This window comes from Homo sapiens, chromosome 20 (assembly GCF_000001405.40).
Source record: "Homo sapiens chromosome 20, GRCh38.p14 Primary Assembly".
Classification (NCBI taxonomy): domain Eukaryota; kingdom Metazoa; phylum Chordata; class Mammalia; order Primates; family Hominidae; genus Homo; species Homo sapiens.
In genome coordinates this window covers 9,752,296-9,778,361 of record NC_000020.11, presented here as the reverse complement: position 1 = coordinate 9,778,361, position 26,066 = coordinate 9,752,296, and the positions used below count along the sequence as shown (strand labels likewise).

Below are 26,066 nucleotides of genomic sequence, written 5' to 3'. Positions count from 1 at the left end.
GGAGGCCGAGGTGAGAGAATCACTTGAGCCCAGGGGTTTGAGGCTACAATGAGTTGTAATCATGCAATTACACTCCAGCCTGAGCAACAGAGTGAGATCCTATCCTTAAAACAACAACAACATAAAAACCTCTAAATGTAAAAATATTAAAATATAGCATTGGAGAACTTACTCTTCATCACGGAGAAGTTATACACACGAACATGGGAGATATTGTGAAGACTCAAGACCCAAATCAATGAATTAAAAATAACAATAAACACAAGTAGTGTTCTTTTGGTTAATATTTTAACTAATAGTTAAATAATTAAACACTAGAACACATTTGTGAAGGGAACTGTATTCTACTTATAAGAGTACCAGCCAGGCATTTCCTCATTCTCATGCCCATAGAGCTTCACGTAAACCCACCCAAGTGCTTAGCCTATACCATCCCTTCTTGTGATGCAGGAAATATCATTCTTGTCTAATCCCTAATTTGTGCCTCTGTTTGCACATCCTCACCTTGTTCATTCTCCCCTTTTTAATGGGATTTTTCCCATCCTCACACATGCATAAAAGAGCAGGAGCACCACTGTCCTCATCGATGACCCTGGCATAGCCCATGCTAGATTCCCCACTAGTTTTGTTCTCCTTTCTAGCTAATATTTCAAAAAAATATATGTATATAATGATCTTCCTTATTTCTCTTTAGTTATTCTTTCTTTTACTCTAATTGGTCCTTGATTTCTACCGCCCTGCTATAGGTAGTTGTATAAGTCTCTTCTTATGCTTCTAATAGAGACATACTCATGACTGGGTAATTTATAAAGGAAAGAGATTTTATTGACTCACAGTTCCACATGGCTGGGGAGGCCTCATAATCATGGTGGAAAGTGAATGAGGAGCAAAGTCACATCTTACATGCTGGCATTGCCTGCCAGGGGAACTGCCCTGTATTAAACCATCAGATCTTGTGAGACTTATTCACTATCATAGAGCAGCACTGGAAAAACCTGCCCCCTTGATTCAATTACCTCCCACCGGGTTCTTCCCACAACATGTGGGGATTGTGGGAGTACAATTCAAGAGGAGATTTGGGTGGGGACACAGCCAAACCATATCACCAGTCTTACCAAAGGAACCAGCTATCTACCTCCATGCTGCCATCCAATGCACAGTTCTCTTTTCTCATCCTTTATATCTCGAGTGAAATGTTCTTGAACTCCTGAGCTCAAGCAATCCTCCCATCTCAGCCTAGCCTCCTGAGTGGCTGGAACTACAGGGATGAGACACGGTAGCTGGCTTCAAGTGAAATGTTAAATTCTCAGAGATGCCTTCTCATACCTAAAATTGCACTAATACCTTTCCATTTCTTTCAATCCTTTGTTTTCTTCCTGGCACATCTCATATAATTAGCTCATAGTGAATATATCTTTATTTATCTATTTAATTGCTATGTAGCAAATTACCACCATGTTTCTTGGCCTCAAAAGCATTTCTTATCCCATAGTTTCTATGGATCAGAAATTCAAGAGCAACTTAGCTGGGTGTCTCTGGCTCAAGTTCTCTTATGAGGTTGTAGTCAAGGATTGATCATGGCTACGGTCTCATCTGAAGATTTAACTGGGGCTTGGGGGTTGGTGGGAGGTCTGCTTTTAGGCTCATTCACATGGGTCTTGACAGGAGGTCTCAGTGCCTCACTTCATGGGCCTCTCCATAGGGCTGCTTGAGTGTACTTACAACATGGCTGCTGATTTCCCCATCACAAGTGATCCAAGAGAAAGTCACATGTGTTAGACCATTCCTAGAAATGATATACCACTTCTGACTTATTCTGTTTGTAACCAACAAGTCACTAAGTCCAGTTCACACCTAGGAGGAGGGAAATTAAGTTCTACTTAGTGAAAACAGGAGCATCATATAATTTGTGGATATAACTTAAAGCCACCATACTCCCCATTAGAATATAAGCTCCCACAGTGCAAGGAATGGGTTACTGCTTACACTTACATCATTAGTGCTTAGAACAGCAGGCACTTTGATAAACATCTGTTTAATGAGTCAATAGATGAATGTCTCTTACTCTTGGGCAGCAAAGATATAGACTATGGAGTTATCTAGACCTGGTATGAAATTCTGACTCTACCTTTTACTAGTTCTGAACTTTGGACATATTAGTTTCTATGAGCCTCAGTTTCCTCATCTGTCACCTGTGCTATATTCCTGCTTCACAAGAATGCTATGAGGATTAATGAAATTGCATATATAAAGCACTTCTTCAAGCATTCAGCACAAGATAAGCATTCAAATTCTAGTTTCTCTGATTTTTTCCATCTTTTCACTTTCCCCAAAACTTTCAAGAATCACTATTTCTTTACTACATGATACCAAAATTTTCTATTTAACTTTCTCATAATGAATTAATCATATGTTCAATTATTTACATGTCGAAGAAAAATCAATTTATCTTAGATTTAAAGAATTTTTTCATTAGTGCATAATTTCTATTAGATCTTCCCAAGAGAATTCTAATATGTCCCTATGGAGGGGAAATTAACAAATGGGCCAATTGGAAGGAAGATTCCTTAGCATAAGAGGTACAACTGCAATTTAGATTCACTATTCTGTCTAAAAGAAAAGTATGTTACCCCATAAATAGATACATACTTGTTCAAGATTTATGCTTTTTGTGCTTTGATCTACTAGTAAAAAGCATATGATTGTAATAATTACCTTGGTTAAGGTGCATTAATACATTTGCCCTTTGCTGCTAATTGAAAATGAGGGTCTTTTGTAGAACATACCTACTGTGTACCCACAAAAATAAAAATAAAATAAAAAATAAAACTGTGATAATATTTAGTACTTGAAGGAAAGTCACAAGGCTCATCTGTAGTTGCACCATTTTTTCTTGTGGAAAATGACAGCAGACAGAATGAATTTGGGAAATTATTTTGTGGAGGGAAATGAGGCCATGGGACCCTGTGGGTGGAATGAACAGTACTGCTAAACAGCTTTTGTTGAATCAGAAACTGAGCGAAGAATTTACCAAGCTGCCCTGAAACTTGGTATCATTATGAGTGAGTCTACCGACGCAGCTCTTTTTTTTCCCCTTAAAAAATCAGGTGTAATTTACATTCAGTGAAAGGCATAGATCTAAATTTTATAGCCCTATGACACATATATAAATATGTATAACCCACACCCCAACCAAGATAGAACATTTCTATCACTCTAAAATGATCCTTATGTCTCTTTCCAGTCATTTGCTACCACCCCCAATGTAACCACTGATCTGACTTTTGTCATCTTTAGTTAGTATAGCCTCTTCTAGAAAGTACATACTGCTGTGCTTATTAGTATATGCCTCTGAGATCCATTGTTGTATGTGAGTAGTTTTTTGTTTGTTCGTTCGTTTGTTTTTTTGACCGAGTCTCGCTCTGCCGCCCAGGCTGGAGTGCGGTGGCGCCATCTTGGCTCACTGCAAGCTCCGCCTCCTGGGTTCACGCTATTCTCCTGCCTCAACCTCCCGAGTAGCTGGGACTACAGGCGCCCACCATCACACCTGGCTATTTTTCTTTCTTTTTTTTTTAATTTGTTAGTAGAGACGGGGTTTCACCATGTTAGCCAGGATGGTCTCGATCTCCTGACCTCGTGATCTGCCCACCTTGGTCGTCCGTCAGCTCCTCTAGTGAGTAGTTCTTTTTTGCTTTGCTGAGTAGTATCCCAATGTATGACTATATCAGAGTTTGTTTATTCATTCATCTGATGAAGAACATGTGGATTATATCCAATTTTTAGCTATCATGAATAAAGCTGCCATGAATAATCCTGTACATTTTTTCTTTGGGATCAATACTGAAGAATATAATTGCTAGATAATAAAGCTGATGCTTAATTTTATAAGAAAAAGCCAAGCTTTAAAAAATTGGTTGTTCTATTTTTATACTCCCATCAGCAATGTATGAAAAGTCCAGCGGCTCCCCAACTCCAGGGATGGTAATGGCTGTGTTTTCACTGTTAGGCATTCTGGTAGGTGTGAGCGAGTATCCACAATTTGCTCTATCACAGTTTTGTGCATGTTCGTGTTTTCTCCAATCATAGCTTTCATTCTTTACTTTCAGAAGAGAAGTGTTGGGACTGTATCTGTTCCTCCTTTCCCCCAAGCTCTTTCAGTAGGGAGTGTTCCCATGGAGTGAGGTGTCACACTGAATGAAGTGTTCAACTGCATCAGGTCTTCAGCACCCTAGGTAGTCCCAGATTGACACTTTCTTACCATGGCGATGTAAGAAAGCATTTACCATAGTAAGCGGGTCTGACCCCATATCCTGCTTTGCTTTGTGGATCTCCCATCTCCTCCTCATTCTGGCCCTTGTTCTGAAATATAACCTTTTGAAACATAAGTTTCCCTCACTGTCCAGTGCTCTGTCCAGTATGAGAAAACAGCAATAGGGAACAGTTACTGCAAAGCATGAACTCAGGACTCAGACTGCCTGAGCACACATCGTAACTCTGCTGCTGACCAGTACTTTACCTTAGACTCACCTCAAGCCTTGTTTTCTTCACCTGCAAAATGGGACAACTACAGTAACAACCTTGTAGTGTTGTTGTGAGAATTAAATAATAAAATATACAAGGCACTTAGCCATAGTTATGCCAAGGCTCCAGCTCTGCCGTCTATTATGCGAACATCTACTCTGATGCCTACGGACTTGACTTTTTACCACTCTCTGCCCCCACTTGTCCTGTGCTTTTATCTTCTTTTCTTTCTCTTCTCTTTCTCATATACTTCCTAGCCACATCAAGTCAATGTGTAACTTGGCTTTGGGCTTTCCTTTTTCACTTATGAACTAGTTATAAGAAGGGTGACTTCCAGAAAAATAGAAGTGAAATTTACCAAACTCATGCACTGTCTAAGAATTGAACAATGAGAACACTTGGACACAGGAAGGGGAACATCACACACCAGGGCCTGTCGTGGGGTCGGGGGAAGGGGGAGGGATAGCATTAGGAGATATACCTAATATAAATGATGAGTTAATGGGTGCAGCACATCAACATGGCACATGTATACATATGTAACAAACCTGCACATTGTGCACATGTACCCTAGAACTTAAAGTATAATGATAATTAAAAAAAAGAACTTAAAGAGAACCAATGCAAGCAAAAGCCACTTCTCTTTCTGTGATTATTCAAGTGGAGATGGTACACTTGCATGAGCTTTGGGACATGTTGTACTTCTTTAGGCAAAGCCAGCTTGTCTTCCAGAGAGATCTTCTTGGATGGCCTTCTACACCCTGTTGAATTCATCATAGCCCTGGTTTGATTTTGAAGAGTGAGAAGTTTGACTTCTCATCATGAGGATTTATCTCTCTTAGTTTGAGTTTCCTCAAAAGCAGATCTCCTGAAAACCTTCAAGGAGAGACAATGCCTCAGTTTCCCATGGAGGGGTGAGGAAGTTGGAATATTTTTCAACCAACATGTGCCCTTCATTGGTTGAGGGTCACTCCTGGAGTGTTAACTCCCTGACACATCCAGCCTTCCCTGAACATTCTGCCTGACTATTGGGCCAAGAAGAATAGGGATGCCTTGAAATAGGAGGAAAGTCTCTGCTGGAGGACCCAGGGGATATGCATGGCACTGACAACATCTACTTCATTATTTCGCAAATGTAAATTCACATTAACCACATCCACCAAACACAGGGAGTAATGCATGAAAAGCAATCATGCTGATCTATTAATATTCTATGAGAAATACAACCACCAGAAATTCCAACTATGTGTGCTTTGACAGTGGCAGCTTCTTTATGGTCATAACCAAATGGGAAGCCAGATTATCTTCACAAGGAGACTGGGGCGTTTAGAGCCGGTGACATGAGCTTCCTGGCTGGTGTCATTGACCTCTGACCAATGGCATACATCCCCTAGCGGGGATATTCCTTCACAGGGATGGTCTAGAGACTCCTGCAAAACCCTCTTTCTTGGATTTGACTCTGTTTTTTCTTTTTATAGACACCTTGCTGATCATCCTTCTCCTAATAGTGCACTTTCTTATCTGTAAGAATTATATTTATAATCATCCAATTATACCTCCCCCAGCTCATCTTATTTTAGTTCTGAGGGTCACCACTAATCTCTTGGTCATAGCTCCAGGTGGCTGCTCTCATCCATTACCTTTGGATTCTTTATCATTTCTTCACTAGAGGTTAAATTTAACCTTAGTTTTCGGAAATTTGTTGCTGTTAACTCCCATAGCTGCCTGCAGACATTTTCTTGATAAAATAAGAAAGTGAGTACAAGAAGTGGGTAATAATTTATTTTTGTTTTTTATTGTTTTGAGATAGGGTCTCACTATGTCACCCAGGCTGGAATGCAGTGGTGCGATCTCTGTTCACTGTATCTTCGGCCTCTCGGGTTCAAGTAATCCTCCCACCTCAGCCTCCTGAGTAGCTGGGACCATGGGCATGTACCAGCACACCTGGCTAATTTTTGTATTTTTTGTGGAGATAGAGTTTTGCCATGTTGGGCAGGCTGGTCTCAAACTCCTGCTCAAGTGATCCGCCCTCCCCCGGACTCCCAAAGTGTTGATATTACAGGCATGAGCCACTGTTCCTTGATGGCAATAGTTTATTTTAAAAATATTTGAATTCATTAGGCCAAGTGTGGTGGCTCATGCCTGTAATACCAGCACTTTGAGAGGCTGATACAGGAGGATTACTTGAGGCCAGGAGTTCAAGACCAGCCTGGACAAAAGAGTGAAACGCCCATTTCTACAAAAAAAAAAAAAAAAAATTAAAAAATTGACTGAATGTGGTGGCACACACCTGTAGTCCCAGCTCCTTGGGAGGCTGAGTGGGAGGGTCCCTTGAGCCCAGGAGTTTGAGGCTGCAGTGAGCAGTGATTACACCAGTGCATTCTAGCCTGGGTGACAGAGCAAGACCCTATCTCAGAAAAAAAAAAAAATTTTTTTAAATTATAGATCTGCTCTTTCTTGACACTCCGCTATAGTAGAAAGAAAACTGGAGTATGTTAGGTTGAATGACATGAAGTTGGCAAGATTCAACCATTTTTGACATATAATAGGTCAATTTCATATAGTTCAGCCTACATAAAGACAATAATGTTCTCTATCAAAAAGTGAGTCAAAATATCTTATCTCTGTTAGGGCTATGTGGCTTTTAAGCAGATCCTCCCACCTCTTTGGGTCTTAGTTACTCGTCTGTAAAATGGGTTTGACTAGATAAATTATAGGAGCTTTCCCACAAGTTTTATGAAGATTGGTCATTGCTATGGCTGCTATAAGAAGTCTTGTTTCAAGGATGTTTTTTCTTGTTGTGACATCTTGCTTTCTTATATTCATGTTCTCTTACGTTTATACCCAGGAGTCTCCTCTGTCCTTTTCTAATCTTTCTTGCTGGACAGTTTTTTCCTTAAGACAGCTCTATCTGAGTTGTTTGTCCCTATGGCAGCCATGAACAATAGAGTAACTATCTTTGCTGTTTATCTATCCTTGACAACTTGATGTCCAACTTGGCACTGAGGATAACTTCTTGAGGGCTCATATTTCCTTTAGGGCCTCAACTCCAACGATTCTTCAACCCCACTGTGACCTGAAGTCCATGCATCCTACCCCCTTTCTGTTGTCTCTCACTCTCTTCATGTCCCAATTTTCTACTGTTTCAGCTCACATTTTACTCTGCATTACTCTAATTACTGTCTTGCATTTTCTAGGCACACATTGCTCCTTTCCCCTTCCTTTGTAATCACTTGGCAAAAGTCTAACCCAGATTACATTCAACTCTTCATGCCCATCTTGCCTACACTCACCCAGCTAAACACAGATGGAGTGAAACACACCATTGTGCTGGCTCGTTTCACTTTACAGCCATGACTACAAACCACGCATGGGTCCTTAGAGCTGCCGAGTAGTCAGATTATGTTTCTGGAGCCCCTTTACTCTCCTGTTCTTTTAGGTAACCATTTTATACCTTATCTTCTCCCTCATTTTCACCTTCAGCTGATTTTCTTGTTTCTTGTTTCTTTAAGAAAATAGAAGCCATCAGAATGAGACATCCCCATGTCCCCATCATCGCACTGTCAACCGCACATCTGCACTCATCTGCGCTCATGTTCTCTGCCTACATTTCTTTTTCTTAGAATGAACTGCCTGTGCTTCCTGCAGAGTCCAAGCCCTCCTCTTAGGAAGTCGACCGTCCTCTTTCGCCTGCCCAAGGACATCACTCTGGCAACTCTTCCCCCTCTCCTGCATTATCTGTTGGCCTTTCTGTGTCATACACATAAGCTCTATTTTTTCCCCATCTAAAAAAGAAACTCTTTTGACTCTAGGCCTCTCCAGCTACCACCCTACTTTTCTACTGCCCTTTAGAAAAAACTCCTCAAAAGAATTATTCTCACATTTCTGCAGGATAACATCACACATTCTCCTAGTTCTATATTCTTCTACTAGCTAATTTCTTTGTACCATATTTAGTTTTTAAAGAGCTCCTTTCTCTATAAATATTTCATTTCAATGCCAGAGGTCATATCAGATGGAGAATGGCTGGTTGGTGGTTTAACACTGATTAAAAGAAGAGGAAAAGCAGCCAAATATTTAGAGAAAAGGTGAAGCCATTCCATCCCATCACCTTTGTTGGAGCATTTCAATTTGCTCTCTACCTTAGATGTGCTCTCTAGCCCATAGCTGAGCTAAAGGTATATTAAGTCTGTCTAACCGGGCTTGAAGGGAAGCTGGAAGACCATTTGTTCTTTTAAATCTCTTTAGTTTGCAATTGTCAGATTCAATTTTGAGGGGAAGAGTTCAGAGCATCATTGAAAGTAAAAAAGATGGGGGAAAGTGATAGCCACATGATAAATTATATCAAAGTCAAAGTCATCGCCCTATGGCAATTTTTGCAAAGAAGTATTTTTAGCATGGATAGCTAAAGGGTAGAGCATGTCACAGAGACACCTGTGTAGTTATGCAGACTGGCAGGGATGTAGAGGAACTATTAGAACCCCTGCCTTGTGTATCAATGGCATATTTTATCCATGGGCAGAATTAACAGATAATATTCGCTATACTGATTAGGAGAGAAGACAGCTTCATCTCCACACAGCTGGAAATATGTCCTGCTTCAATGTCAATTTGTTTATGCTGTGGGCCAAGTCATGCCCCCATATGTCTGTATTTTCACATCTCTAACAGATATTAATTGCACTAGATTTGCTGTGCTGTACTTTTGATTAGTCAGAAGTTCGGCCTAGTAAGTTAGAACTCTGTGTTCTCACTGTGTTAAAGGGATGCTTGTCATTATATTGTTTTGAAATTGTTTAAAAGATACAGTTAGGGAGGCATAGTCCTTGATCTTTTAAAATCCTTTTAAAGAAATGAACGGGGCAATTAGATAGCAAAACTGAAAACTTATGGGCTTTTATTTTTTAATTTTTAATTACTATGGGAACATAATAGTCATATATTCTTTCATTCTTTTTTTCCCTCCCTTCTTGTTTAAGTTAGGCCAGAGTCCAGTTTTCTTTATGGTTTTTTTTTTTTCTTTCTTTCCCTTTTTTTTTTTTTTTTTTTTGCGATGGAGTCTCGCTCTGTTGCTCTGTTGCCCAGGCTGGAGTGCAGTGGTGTGAACTTGGTTCACTGCAACCTCAGCCGCCTGGATTCAAGCGATTCTCTTGCCTCAGCCTTCCCAGTAGCTGGGACTACAGCCGCGCGCCACCATACCCGTATAATTTTTGTATTTTTAGTAGAGACAGGGTTATGCCATGTTGGCCAGGCTGGTTGAGAACTCCTCATCTCAAGTGATCCACCCACCTTGGCCTCCCAAAGTGCTGGGATTACAGGTGTGAGCCACCGCGCCTGGCCCCTTTACTTTTTATTTATTCTTTCTAATTTCAACTTTTATTATAGATACAGGGGGTACATATACAGGTTTGTTCCATGAGTATATTGCAGCAGGTATGGGCATAGTACCCAATAGGTGGTTTTTCAACCCACAGCCTCCTCCCTCCCTCCCCCATCTATAGTCTACAGTGTCTATCGTTCCTATGTTTATGTCCATGTGTGCTCGATGTTTAGCTCCCACTTATGAGAAAGTGTGAGATTTGGTTTTCTAAACCCTGCACGTGTACCCCTGTGTCTAAAATAAAAGTTGAAATTAGATTAAAAAAAAGTGAAGACCCTGGTATAACTTAAACAGGAAGAAAAAAAGAATTAAAGATTATATTACTATTACGTGCCCATAGTAATCAAAAATTAAAAAAATAAAAGTTGTCCATAGGTTTTCAGTTTTGGTGTCTAATTGCCCTGTTTCTATAAGAGGATTTTAAAAGATCAAGGACTATGCTTCCCTAACTGTATCTTTTAAACATTAAGTCACTTAGGGTAATGGCCTGCAGCTGCATTCATGCTGCTGCAAAGACATGATTTCATTCTTTTTTTATGGTTGCATAGTATTCCCTGGTGCAGATGTACCACATTTTCTTTATCCAGTCCACCATTGATGGGCACCTAGGTTGATTCCATGTCGTTGTTATCATGGAAGTGTTTAGAACAAAACTAGTTGAAAAAATATCCCCTAGAATCCCAGGTACAAGGAGAAGGGGACAAACCCCCAATACCACTGACCTGCATGGGCTGAATGTGGCAGCAAGAAGCAGAGGGAGGCAAGGGGGTGACTGAAGAACCAGAGAAGGTGGTAACCCCAAACTATCCAAGAGGTACTCTACAGAAAGCTTAAATATTGCCTGGAAATGGGCACTTTTATGGATTGCCCACTCTGCTAGGCTCAGTTTTAGATACTAGAGAGGCCACATTAAATGAAATGGGAAAGGTCTCTACTCTTACAGAGCCTATGTCCTAGAAAAGAAACATAGACAAATAATAGAATTTCAGACACATAGATGTGCTAAAACAAAGGAAGGCAATAGAAGGAACCCATGTGGCTGGGTGAGGAACTCTGCTTTTAATGAGGAGGTGACATTTAAGCAGACAGGTGAGTGGACCTTAGCGGACCTGATTTAATAAATAGAATGATGAGGATAAGTTCATTGATTATTTGATCCAGGATTGAACATTATTCACTTAAATAGGTTAATTATTCTCCTTTATGATCTCATCTTTCAAAATTTTCCTCCATGCAATATCAAAGGCTGCCTGTATCCAAAATCAAAATGAGTAATTTTGATGACATAACTGCATGTGGCCTGATAAAAATCATCCTTATTAAAATGAATTCTGGAAGGGGTCCCAAGATTGGTGCAGTGGTTCAGCCTTGCTGCCAAGAATCCAGCTCCCCGCAGTCTGTCAATATATACCCTCAGGTCTGTGTATTTTGGCCGAACGTGGGGGCCATGGTCAGGCATCAGCATCTTGTGGGAGCATATCCTAATGTTGGAAGGAAAACAAAGTTTGTCTCTTTTCTCTCTTGTCTCTTCTCTCTCTTAAAAAAAAAAACATTTTAATGAAGAATTGTGCACATATTGTTAGGCATATATAGCTTGATATGTTTTCACAACTGAATGCATCCAGCATTCAAATCAAAAAGCAGAATATCATTAGTACCTAAGAAGTCTCCCATATGCCCCTTTTCAATCACTACCTTCTCCAAATGTAATTAGTTGCATGATTTTAAGTTTCTAACATCTTAGATTAGTTTCACCTATTTTAACCTTTTGAACTTTAAATGGAACTTCACACTATGTACTGTCTCATGTTGGCTTCTTTTACTCATTATGTTTGTGGGATTCACAGCCATTTTTGTGTGTAAATTATTTTTATTACTCCATAGTATTCCATTGTCCATTCTGCTTGAAAATATATATATATATATATATATATATATTCTGCTTGAATATATATATATATATATTCTGCTTGAATATATATATACATATATATTCTGCTTGAATATATATATACATATATATTCTGCTTGAATATATATATACATATATATTCTGCTTGAATATATATATACATATATATTCTGCTTGAATATATATATATATTCAAGTAAGTAGAATATATATATTCAAGTAAGTAGAATATATATATATTCAAGTAGAATATATATATATTCAATTAGAATATATATATATTCAATTAGAACATATATATATATTTTTTTCTTTTTTTTTCCTTTTTGAGATGGAGTCTTGCTCTGTCGCCAGGCTGGAGTATAGTGGCGCAATCTCAGCTCACTGCAACCTCTGCCTTCCGGGTTCAAGTGATTCTTCTGCCCCAGCCTCCCGAGTAGCTGGGACTACGTGCTCGCACCACCACACCCAGCTAAATTTTGTATTTTTAGTAGAAACGGGGTTTCACCATTTTGGCCAGGATGGTCTTGATCTCTTGACCTCGTGATCTGCCTGCCTGGGCCTCCCAAAGTGCTGGGATTACAGGCGTGAGCCACCACGCCCAGCCCATTCTACTTGGTTATCATTTTAAACAGTAACCAGTTTGGGGTTATGAGTAGTGCTGCAGTGAGCATTCTAGTGCATGTCTCTTGGTGATCATATATACACATTTCTTTTGACTTTTTGAAGTCCTGTATCTAATTTCCTCTCAAGTCTTCTTGGGCAACATTAGGTCACATGCCCTTCCTATTTGCAGTAGAACCTGGGAAAGAAAATATCTAAGAATGTGCTGTTAAATGTTCAACAACTAGCTCTTAGCAGGAGGGTTGGGCAGGGAGAAGCAGGGAGAGGGCGGCTTGATGGGAGGAGGGTTGATTTGCAGCATCTGCAGTTTCTTGGTGTGAATACTCCCATCATGGCCAGTTTTAAGCTACCAGTGTTATATCAACCACCTTGCAAAAACAGCTCTCATAGAATTAGTGTTAGCCAGCTCCAGAATGCCACAGAAAATAGCTAACATTTTCACTTTTTATAATTGGAATTTGGCTCTGCCAGAAAAAAAAAATGGAGGCTAGGGAGGGATAGGAAATGTTGTTCCATAGGCAATCAGTATTTTTGCACCAATTATTGAGTTACTACTATGAATAAATTAATAAACTACTATCCTAACCCAAAGATGATTATTATAAATTTTAGATTATTGGTGAAAATGAAAACTGGCTTTTAGATACTATTAGGATAGGCTAGATTTATACTGTGGTTAAAAAAAATCCCCAAATTCTAGCATTTCACCCATAGGAGTTTGTTTTTCACTCATGCAAACTCCACTACAGGTCAAGAAACTCTCCAGTGCAGCTATTCTTCATGCAATGATTTAGCAACCCGGACAGCATCATGTTATGGCTCATTATTTCAATACTCAGTCTCCATGGTCACCGCTGGAGCAAAGGAGACAGGTGAGGGTTATACATGTGCTTGTAATACCTTCAGTGCAAAAGTGATTTATCAATTCCACTCATAGGTCATTGCCTAAAGCTAGGTACTGGGTCCCTCCCAACTGCAAGGACAATTGGTAAATCTGTGGGTATATGATGTACTGTAAATGTCTCTGCCACAGAGACCATCCACTCAGAACCATCTGTTATTTTTTAAAGATCCTAAAATGGGCCTTTAAAAATATTTAGTTCTATGCATTTCCACCCTAACATATATCCAGTTACTCTAGAAAAATAACCACAACTGTACTCGAAGTTATCCACCAGTAATGCATTATCTCAGAAAATAGAAGAAACTGTTTCTTAAGCAATAACAAGATCAATCCTAATGAAGACTCTTTTCTATATATGAGTTAATTGGCTTTTATATTGGACTATAATCTCCAGTATAGGTAATGCCTTCAGCCATAATGCTTATTTTACCATCACCGTAGTAATAATTGATGTAGGTAAGAATCATCAACAGACGCTAAAACCACTGGGCTAAAGGGTGCTGAGCAAGAGAATATTTGCATAGGCTTCAAAGTGATATACCCACATTTATTACTTACAAAGGGGAAAAGGTAGCATTAAAATGGAGAGATTTGGCAGATATTGCCTCTTCCAATTGATCAAATTTAATATTGCCAATAATGGGGCAAACTAAAACCATGTGCCCCATACGATACACTGAGAAAGGGACCTAATGGTATCTACACAGTATGCCTACCAAAACTGTTAACTATGAACATAATCTTAAGAAAAAACTCAGGCAAATCCTAATTTAGAGCTGTCTTGAAAAATCTCAGCTGTACTCTTTTAAAATGTCAATGTCATGGAAGCCAACACAGTGTCCTTGATGAAAGGAGATCAAGAATGATGACTAAATGCAGTGTGTGATTCTGGTTCAGATCCTGGAAAATGAAACTATAAAGGACATTATTGGTTTAAGGTGGAGATTTTGATTATAGACTATATATTTGATAATAATATTGTATCAATGTTAAATTTCCCAAATGCAATTAGTATGTCATAGTTATACAGGAGAATGGGTTTGTCTTATGAGAAATGTGTTGATTAGTGGTGAAGTGTCATACCTGCAGGTACATTCAGGTGATTCAGAAAAAAAGGATACGCATATATTTATATGTGTATGTGTGTTTAAGTATATGTGTAATTATATGTACGTATAAACACAATATACACACATACAGAGAAAGCAAATGTGGCAAAATGTTAATCTTTGAAGAATCTAGGTGAAGGTTGTCTGGGCATTAATTCTTCCACTCTTGCAACTTTTCTTCAGTTTGAAATGTTTCAAAATAAAAAAAACGGGAAAATACTGTTTGTTCCATTTTTCCTGCAGTTTTGCAACTCAATTCACTCCTGTCATATTTGCTAAAACATCAGTCTTATTGGGACCAACTTCATTCTGTTGCTTAATCTGCACGGTTTAGTCATCAGATGAGAGTTGGGCTTCAAGATTGTTTTTTTTTGTTTTGTTTTTCATTTAACAGCTTATTGGTTTATTTTTGATATGTGTCTGTATCAGTTAGGATAAGTTAGGTTTTTTAAAAACTACTTTTTTGCAGAATGGTTGACATGTAAGAAGCTATACATATTTAATGTGTACAACTCAGTGAATTTGGGGATAAGTATACACCTGTGAAGCCACTGCCACCATTAAAGCTGTAGGCATATCCATCACCTCCCAAAGTTTCCTCTCACCCTGCCCCTCTTATTATAATTTCATGTGTGTGCATGTGTGTATGTGTGATAAGAACACTGAGTTCTACCGTCTTGGTACAATATAGTATTGTTAACTATAGGTACTATGCTATATAGTAGATCTACAGAACCTATTTATCTTGTATAAGTAAAACTTTGAACCCTCTAACCATTGCTTCCCCATTTCCCCTTCCCCTCAGCCCCAGGCAATCAGCATTCTACCTTCTGCTTCCATGATTATGCCTATTTTAGATTTCACGTATAGGTGAGATCATACAGTATTTGTATTTCTGTCTCTGGCTTATTTCACTTAGCATAATGTCCTCTAGATTCATCCATGTTGTTGCAAATAGCAGGATTTGTTTCTTTTTTTAAGGCTGAAAATATTTCATTATGCATATACACCACAGTTTAAAATCCATTTTCCTGTTCATGGGCATTTAAGTTGTTTCCGTTTCTTGGCTATTATGTGTAATGCCACAGTGAACAAGGGAGCACAAGTGTCTCTTCAACATCCTGATTTGAATTTCTTGGGATAAATACCTAGAAGTGGGATTACTGGACCACATAATTCTATTTTTAATTTCTTGAGAACTTTCCATACTGTTTTCCATAATGGATGTACTAATTTACCTTCCCATAAATAGTGTACCAGAGTCCCATTTTCTCCATATCTTTACCAACACTTATTATTTGTTGTCTTTTTGATAATAACCATTCTAACAGTCATGAGGTGATATCTCATTGTGATTTTGATTTGCTTTTCTCTGATGATTAGAGATGTCAGGTGCCTTTTAATATAGTTGGCCATTTGTTTGTCTTCTGTGGAGATATATCTGTTCAGATCCTTCCTGTGCCCATTTAAATTAGGTATTTGTTTTATTTTATTTGCTATTGAGTTGTATGAGTTTGTTATAGATTTTGGATATTAACACCTTATCAGATACAAGATTTGCAAATATGTTCTACTATTCCATAGGTTGTCTTTTCATTTTGTTAATTGTTTCCTTTGCTATGCAGAAGCATTTTAATTTGATGTAGTCCCATTTGTTTATTTTTGCTTCTGTTTCCTATGCTTTGGGTGCTATATCCAAAAATTTACTGCCAAGACCAATGTCAAAGAATTTTTTCTCTGTGTTCTTCTAGGAGTTTTACATCTTCAAGTGTTACATTTAAGTCTTTAATCCATTTTAAGTTGATTTTTGTGTGTGGTGTAAGAGAAGGGCCCAATTTTATTATTTTACATGTGAATATTCAGTTTTCCCATCACTGTTTATTGAAGAGGCTGTTCATTCCCCTTTTTGTATTCTTGCTGCCCTTGTCAACAATTATTTGACTGTATATGTGTGGGGTTTATGTCTTGGTTTTTTATTCTGTTCAATTGGTCTATGTTTATTTTATTTTCCTGTGAAGAAGAATTCTCAACAATTTTTTATATGGCTACTCTACCCTTAAGGAGGTGGAGTATGACTTCCAATCCATTTTAAAAAAAAATTCTTGTGTGTATTTAAAATATGCAACATGTTACAAGAGATGTATAGATGATAAAATGATTACAATAGTGAAGCAAATTAATATATACTTCATCTCACATAGTTACCCACTTATGTGTCTATTTTTATGCCAGTGCCATGCTGTTTTGATTACTATAGCTTTGTAATATAATTTTAAATTGGGAAGTATGGTGCCTCCAGCCTTCTTGTTCTTGCTCAAAATCGGTTTGGCTATTCAGGGTCTTTGTGGTTTCATATGAATTTTAACACTGCTTTTTCTACTTCTGATGTTAAAAATTGCCATTGGAATTTTGATAGAATTTTGATGCAAAATTTTGAATCTATAGATTGTGCAGGGTAGAATGAACATTTTACCAATATGAATTATTTCAATCCATGAACACCGAATATCCTTCCATTTATTTAGATATTCTTTAATTTCATCAGTGTTCTACAGTTTTTTGTGTACAGATATTTCAAGGGCAGGGATTCTTAATAATCACCACCTGATTCTAAACGGGCCTGTAACACAGGAAAGAGCCCACCCAGAAGCAGAGATGTCCTTCTGTGTGTTTGGATTGCACATTCAGTTAATACAGCATCAGGCCTGGAAGATGATATTTATTTTTCTTTGAAAAACAGTGGGATCAGGAAAAGCAAAGCTAAAGATAACTTTCTCCTTTTAAACTTCTGTTGCGTTAGGTTAGCCTGTGGTATTAGAGTCAAACATATTTGTCTACTCTGAAATGACACTAGTGATACTTTATATGCTTATGCTCTAAGGAAAACTACTTAGCATATTCTGTAGTGTTAAATGAATGTACTGCCTTCTTAGAACAGGCCCTGTAATTTTGTGATAAGAGTATCAATGTTTCACTTTGGGAGGCTGAAGCAGGCAGAACACTTGAGGTCAGGAGTTTGAGACCAGTTTGGCCAACATAGTGAAACCTTGTCTCTACTAAAAATACAAAAAAATTAGCTGAGCATGGTGATGCATGCCTGTAGTTCCAGCTACTCAGGAGGCTGAGGCACGAGAATCACTGCAACCTGGAAGGTGGAGATTGCAGTGAGCCGAGATCGTACCACGGCACTCCAGCCTGAGTGACAAAGTAATACTCTGTCTAAAAAAAAAAAAAAAAAGAAAAGAAAAGAAAAAAGATAAATGTCAGATGAATTGATATAGATGATGAACTTCAAAAAGAAGCTAAACTCAAATATACATTTTTTTTTTTTTTTCTCAACCATCAAAAACTTGAAATTCTCTGTTGAGAACTTCTGGGATCTTTTCTGACCATTCTGTCAGGAGCAGCCCAGTAGATTTGTAGAATTAATGTTGACACTTCACACCTTTTATGAGTCCCTATCCAAATGGGAGAACGGAAGATTTGTATCAGACAGTTTTGCTAAGAATTGAAAACAAGAGCCATTTTTTGGCTGTTAACCAGAATGAATTGTTGATCAAGTAGATCATTTAGCCCTCAATACTGGAACTCTTGATGAATAGCATGGAGAACTAAATTATAAAGTTTCAAGATTTTTTCACTATTTTGTCATTGTCCTAAAAGTCTGGAATGAGCTTTTTAAGTTTCTGTCTCTGTTTTTGGCTCTAATTTTTGACATCCCCCACAAAACAAAGTAGTACTTCAGTTATTGAAAGCCATTATGATTTTCAGTAAATATGTCTCATGTTGCTATAACACTCTGGTGGTCACAGCTACCCAATAACATCACATGGGAAGGACAGCTACATGGTTCAATTTAATTACAAATATTTACACACTTTCAATATAAGCCCTGGAAAACATTAGCGTAGGGTGACCCCTCCCAGTAGGATAGCAGCTTTTTGCAGCTCAAAGCTGTATTCTTTCCTAAAAGGTTTTATTTGACTAAATGGCTGACAGGCGGATATTGAATAGAGAATGAGATGGTTGGTATATGTTACGACTTGAATGTAACCCTAGACACAGAGTTTAAAATAGTCTGCTGGTGTCTTATAGGGACTTGTTCCCCATGACCCAACATTCCTGAGACCAGGCAACATTCTCTTCCTGCCTCCAGGGAGTCATTTCGTAGCTGGGTTTGGGTAAACGTTGTGGGTTTCAAAAAAGCCCCATGCATGGGACCAGGAGAGCCTCCTTTTTCGACCTTGTACCACAGGCATCACCAACTACTCAAGATGTAACTTTGTTCAGGGCAGGGCTACTCAAAGTGAGGATCCCTTTCCTTCATCTGGGAGCTTGATAGAGATGCAAATTCATGGGCTCCTCACCTACTGACTCTGAATCACTGGGGTGTGGCCAGGAATCTGTGTTTTAACAATCTCTCCCTTAAATTCTGTGAAATATCACAATTTTAGATTTCCCATAGGTGTGAGGCAACAAGCAGACATTAGCTGAATACTTCTCAAAAGATGATCGTGATCATCTGTTCACCTTGCCAAATAGAAGTTTCCCATAATGCAAACAGAGGAACACTTATCTATAGGATATGATAAGAAACAGGTTCTGACAAATGTAAATATGCTACAAAGTAATTTTATTAAAACATGGTGTTATCAGATGTTTAGCAGTGAAAAGAGATAGTAAAATTAAAAAGCCCAGCTACATTCTGCATCATCTTATATAACTTGCTACCCTTTCAATTAATACTTTTCCTGGATTTGTTATCTTGTAGGACGTAGTGTTAAGTGAAATCTTCCTTATTTGATTGTGTTCTCATATTGAATGCTTGCTTGCTTTCTCAGTAAGAGTTCCTAGGAGCCAAGCAAATATTACATTAGTGCATAATTCCTCCAGGGACTGTGTTGTGGCTGGAGTCACAAGGGGTTCTGTCCCCTTTGGAGAGCAGACCTGGAACTACACTCAGTGGGCTCTGAAACCTGAGCCCCAGAGCCTGTTTTGTTGGTAAAAACTTTGCTGCCTTTCTTTTCCTTAGACATGGCCTCCAGGCAGAAGACAAAGTAGACAATTTATAAAGAAGGGAGCCTGTGGATGTCACAGAGGCATTTCTTGTCCTTACTGGGGCAAGGACATAAATAGAACACATTTTATTTCTATAAGCTGCTATGTTCATTTTAGTTCCCACACATTTAGTGGTGAACTGATAAATATTTAACAACCTAGACTCCAAGGGGGAAAGCCTTGAATTTTAGCCTTGGCAAGTTTTCAAAATCTAAATACCATGGCCAATTTCAAGCTACCAATGCAATGTCACAAAGTCATGGTAGTGGGGCTGAAACAAGAGGCTGCAATCAGCTATCACTGTTCTATGCGAGCTGGCTTCAGCATACCACTATGCAAAGTACTCCCTTCCAGGTACTCGCTGAGATAGAAGATGGGAATTGAGCTAGCCCATGGTAGGCATGGATAGGAAGGAGACATCACTGTTGTTGCACGGGCTTGGCATGTGGGGAGATCTGTTGGTGTTCAGTACATGAGAAAACATTCATGTGTTCGATGCCACTCCCTTCTATGCTAATGTTTTGGCCACATGTGTTGGGGAGGTAAAATGCTGGATTCTATACTTCTGTTAATAGTATGATGAGTTCACCACAAAGCATAAGGCTAGAAAGGACATCCGTACCTCACATTTTCAGATAAATGACTTAGCAACACTATTATTCCCTGCTAAGGCTGCCTCAAGAGCAAAAGCAGGCATGCACACAATTCTTTGTTGCCCCAGAAAGTATCGCATACATTTGCTATTGTAGGAAAGTATAAAAAAGCTTGCAATCCAAATAAGGCTATGAAGTAGCTCCCAAGGGCAGCATAACTTCTGAAGCAAACTCCTTCTGCAAAGAATCCTGTTATTTATATACCAAGAGCAACAAACATCCATATTTACTTTTGTCTGTGCCCGAATTCAACATTTGATTGTTCTTGTCACTGTGAGGCTTGGCGTCTAAAACACTGTAATGACAGGTTACGTGGTGTGAGATAATAAAGAGTGGATGCATTTTATCCAGGGAACTGATTCTACTACTATCAAAGTATTTTGAAAGAAGAGGAGGAGAATTCAAGTAAAAGTTTAAAAATAGAACAGCATGAAGGAGATCAGTATACATGTGCATAAAAATGTTCTTGGAAGACCTAGAATATGGAACATTTCATTAGTGTATTCATCAGTACTTGGTTCTTGAAGTCAGGCCATTTTATGAGGGAGAAAATGTTGAAGCACTTGACCTAAGGATTCAAGTCCATGCTGAAATATGACAAAACCCTCCACTGAATCTCAGAACCTCTGAACTCTGGTATTTCTTTTAAAAATCCAGAGCTTCCCAAACAAAATCGAAGAAGAGAACAGAGCTTTAAAATCTTATTAAAGACTGGACTGAGTGGAAACCAATGAAATATCTAGAGTGGGGTTAAAGTCTGTATTTGATTTGATGAAATCTAACTTTTATATTTTCTTTTTATATTCATCATATTTTATTTTCAACCTATCTTGGATAAGCATGAAAATAGGTCTGATAGTCATAAGGCTATCACTACACTTCAGCTTTAAGAAGTTGTTAGGTTTATGAGGACTTGTAATAAAACTCCTTAATGAATTAAAAGATGTGGAATATATGTAATAGTTTTTTTTTCATATTGTCTTAATTTGGGTTGTACCACAAGTAGACCCTGAGAAAGGATTCTAACACAAGTATAGTTTATTGAGGAAGTAACCCCAGGCAATACCTAGGAGAGGAGAAATGAGACAGGGTAGGGAAAGAATTCGGTGAAAAGTATGTTTTCAAATGAGTTGCCATTATGGACAACTGGTGCTCAATCCTGCTGGGGAACTCTAGGAGACATTGTAGAACATGCCCCTGAATTGTCCCAAGTGAAAGGCAAGAAAGCTGGTGTAACCAGTAGCTCTCTTTCTGCCATCAGTTAAAAACTGCTTCCAGAGTCATGAACTATTTGACACTACGGACTTTCCCTGCACTAGGGCTAGGTGTGTTCCCATAGTGAGATAAAGGCCCTCTGGGTAATAAGTTACAGATGTTTGCAGTAACCGGCCTTTGCTGTGTAGAGAGAGGACATGCCTTAGTTCAGCACTGTCCAAAAAAGTTTAATGTGAGACACTAACATGAGCTATATACATTGTTTTAATTTTTTCAGGAGCCAATTACGATGTAAAAAGACACAAGAGAAATTAATTTTAATAATATATTTCTTAACCCAGTACATCCAAAATACCATTTTAACATGTAGATAACGTAAAAAGTGTTAATGAGTTATTTCACTTTTTGTCCCAGAACTTTGAGATTTGGTGTGTATTTTACAACGCATTTCATATTTCAACAAACTAGCCACTTTTCAAGTGCTCAGCAGCTGCCGGGATGGGAGGCTGGGGGTGGTGTGTGGCTACTGTATCAAACAGTGCAGTTGTAGGGGAATGCACCAGTGTTTGCATTGCTATTTACTGGATTTGGGGCATGTGTCCCAATTACCCTCTGAGCTACACTGAAGGCCAGCTCCACCCAATGCATCAGAGAACCAGATACGTAGATACATTTTTGGCTCAACTAATGCTTTACTTTCTCAACTAGATTGTGCTCCTCTGATTTCTCAAGACATAAAACCTGGAAAAGGTTATCTTCCACATATTTTATAGAATATTAATATTAGTATTTTGAAAACTAACATTTTCAATGTCTTCACAAATGCATTGCTGCTGTTTTTATTAGTATGAGTTTGGGATTTAATTAGCACAAATTCAGTCCTCACTTATTCTCTTTTTTTCTCCCTTCACCCAGCAAATACTTACTGAACACTTCCTGTGGGCCAGCACAGGCCCTGTGGCCCCTCAGTGATGAAACAAAACCCTATCTTCATGGAGCTATGTTTCAGTGATGGGGAAGGCAGACAGTAAACAGAATACCATATCCATATATAAGAGCCATGAAGAACAGGTTCTTGGCAAATTGTTTCTGCAATGGGTTGACAGGTTTCTGCAATGGGTTGCCATCTTACTTTAATCAGATGCCATATGGAAAAGCAAGTAAGATGGATAGTGGTTATTGGTTTTAAAAGAGGATTTCTCACTTTTTGGTGCATTTCATCTCAGTGTTCCTTTCATTAGAGCCTTGATTTGGATTCTTGCTTTGAACTCATTTACAGGAGACTTTTTAGGAACTGAACTGAACTATAAAATGAGTTGAACTCTGTCTAGTTAGGAGGGTTGTGTACACACACTGCCGTGTTTTGCATCTCTGCATGCCTAATTTAAGGGCAGCTCACACCTCTTCCCCACAGGCTGTCAGATGCATGGCTGAATCATGGTTTGTGTCATCTTCATGGCATAAACTTTACAGACCTTTGAAAACTAGCTGCCAGCAGGGCAGGTCAAAGACTGTGTCTTTGCATATCTCCAGTGGAGCCCTATGAGGCATTTATTTGAGTTGCTAATGTGAGTGAGGCTGTGATCTCTCTATTAATTAAGTCTGTTTTATTCATTGGGTGAAATGTGAAAGCATTTAATAATTTAAAGACTTGATGTTTTCAAAGTGTATTTGACTTTTGAGGTTCAAGACACTAAAAAAAGGTTAACTTGAAGCAATGGCACTTGCAAAGATTTTACTGCAGCTGATTGCATATGCAGGATATTTCTGGAGTCATGTATTATGCCAGAAAGATTATTTCAGTAGGATTTAACTGCCTGAGTATAATAAGTAGAGTGTTTTATTACATAATAATTGCCTTGAATGGGTGTGGGTATTTCATTTGGCTATTGAAATCATGCTAATGTAACTGTAATTGAAAAGATTACATTTACTTTTTAAACATCTTCGTTAACACATCACATTTGGTCAGCTGATGCAATCCTTAAAATCATATGTTTTATTTTCACAGATTTAATTTCCTGAGATATATTGCCTCTTGAAACTTTTTAAAGACATTTCCCGATAGACAAAGGTAGTTGAGTTCCTTTCTATACAACTTATTGAAACTGCCTTTGCAAAAATTATAACAGGGAGAAAATTGTGACAGTGAAAGAAATCTGACCTAACCAACTCCATCTTGCTTATAACCTCCAAACTGTCCTTGTTCATTCCTGGGCACAGCCCTAACTTTGGGAGGAACTTAGTTTATAGTCTAACTTTGAAAGAAACATGATAACAATGCTTTTCTGAAACAAAACCCCTTCTTGCCTATGAACCAGACTGCCTTTGTAGGACTAACAAATTAACGACAAGATTAGAAATTATGGTTTAGGAGTCATGCAGCTAGAGACCACAAGATTCTAAACCTCCCCAATTGCTCCTAGGGATAAAACATCTCTATTGTCAAACCTAAGACTGGTGCTCAAGATATTTTTCAGACCTTGCACTCAATGGATCACCTGGCACCACCCAAATCAGTAAATTACTTCATCTGGTCTCATGGCCCCACCCAGGAATGGACTCAACAGAAGAGGACAGTTTTGATGCCCTGTAATTTCATCTCTGACCCGACCAATCAGTACTCTCCACTCCCTGGCCCCCTACCCACCAAATCATCCTTAAGAAACCCCAGTCTCCAAATTCTGGGGGAGACCAATTTAAGTAGCAATAAGGTGAATTAAAGTTTTTCTTTATTGCAATTCCCCTGTCTTGATAAATCCACAGTTGTATTAATATCTGGGCAGTGGGCAAAATGAACTCACTGGGCAGTTACATTATTTCCTAATTTTCAGTGGTTACCAACAAAGTAAAAACTGATGCTAACTATCTTAAGCAAAATGAAACTTTCTGGAAAGATATGGGAAGGGGAGAATTGATTGGAGTCTTAAGTATCAAACTTTGCAAAAAGGCATCTTAGGTAGGAGCCCTTGGATGCAGACCTGAGATGGAGATTCTTTGTGCAAATGACTTATTGAGGGAATGCTCTCTGGAGAAAGCTGTAAAAGAGTGAGGGAAACTGGATAGGCAGGAGGAGAAGCCAAGCACAAAATAAGGGCTCAGGTGAAGTCTAGCCTCAGCTTGATCCATGAGGAGCTCTGGAGCTTAAATGCCATCAGAGATATTCTGGTATTCTGCTTTGTCTCTCTGGTCTTCCTCCAGTGTTCTTTCTTATACAACAGTCTACAGATGAGCACCTATTTGGGATTGTGTTTTCAGTAGGCTTTGGCAAAACATAAGAAATATATTTTGCTCTTTGTTAGCTTTTTGATTAGGATTTCCCTTTATGGGCTATCACATTTCATACAATGATGGGATTAGGAGAGGGATATGAGTATGAGTGATTGTGTGTGTATGTATAATGTCCTTCTTGGTAACATAAGAAGTGGAAAATTGTATGTTAATTGGCCCCAAGAATTAAGAAAAAAATACTCCTCTGTGAAACTCTATATACACTCCTGCATTCTTACTTGGCATTATTAATGTGAAGCTTAAAGAATAGGAATTTATCATATAGTTCATGGTCATAGCTGTTAATATAGACCCAACCTCAAACAATACATTATACTATATGCTCGAGTAGCATGGCCTTTTTTGATGATAATAAATCTTAATCAAAAAAACAAATGCAAACTTTCTTGAGTAGGGTATTGCACTTTTATAAGTTACATAGTGTAAACATACTTGATTCTTTACTTTCCCACTGTAACAATAGATTATTGCTATGTAACACACAACTTCAAAATTTAGCAATTTAGAACAAGCATTTATGTCACTTATTGGTCTCCAGGTCGTCTGGGGAATTATTGTGCATCTAGGCTGAGCTAGGTTGCTGCCAGCTGGTTGGCTCATGTGTGTGAGGTCTGCTGGAGATCAGCTTGGGGTTGGCTGGTCTGGGTTGCCCTCTTCTAGGATGGCTGGAACTTCTAGGATAACTGAGGCCACTTTCTGTGTAGTCTGTCATATTGCAGAAGACTTGTTCTCATGCCAGTGACAGGGTTCCAAGTGAGGGTGGAAGCTGCAAGCCTTCTTGAAGCCTAGCCTCAGAACTTTTGGCGTGCTTCTGCCTCCTTCAATTGGTCAAAGCAAGTCACATAGCCAAGCCTAGATTCAAGTCATGGGGACAACAGCTCCACCTCTTGATGAGAGGGGTTGTGAAGTCACATTGCAAGGGCTTGGATACAAGGAAGGATGGCAAAATGTGGTCATTTTTACAGTCTGCCTCACGCTGATTCCCCATATTAAATCAGTAATTCTTACATATTTTATCATTCAATTTCCTTAGTCTTATTTTTAAATTTTTTAAATTGATAAGTACATATTTATGGGCTATGTGTGATATTTTGATGCATATATACAATGTGTAATGATCAAATCAGAGTAATAGGATATATACCACCTCAAAAATTTATCATATCGTTAAATCTACCTCTTACCACTGCTAATCCAAGCCACCATTATCTCTCCCCTGGTAGACCACAGTAACTCCGTAACTTATCTCCCTACTTCCACTCTTGGCCATCCCTAATCCGTTCTTCACACAGCAGGCATGATGATTTTTTGAAAATATAAATAAGTTTTTTCCTCTTGCTCTTAGAATAAATCTATGCTCCTTTCTGAGGTCTAAGAGTTGCCACAGTGATCTGCCCCT

The 26,066-nt window shown here is 38.5% G+C and overlaps 1 protein-coding gene across 6 annotated transcripts in view; it reads left to right on the top strand.

Moving 5' to 3' along the window:
* Positions 1–26,066, top strand: part of PAK5 (p21 (RAC1) activated kinase 5) — a 301,707-nt gene that overhangs the window by 60,715 nt on the left and 214,926 nt on the right. Inside the window, exon 1 of one of the 6 annotated variants that reach the window (XM_017027964.2) lies at positions 12,476–13,309. The exons of the other annotated variants lie outside the window; for them this stretch is intronic. The gene's annotated coding sequence lies outside the window, so the exon portion shown is untranslated. Of the gene's footprint in view, positions 1–12,475; positions 13,310–26,066 lie in introns of those variants that run through there. 6 annotated transcript variants of the gene reach the window in all.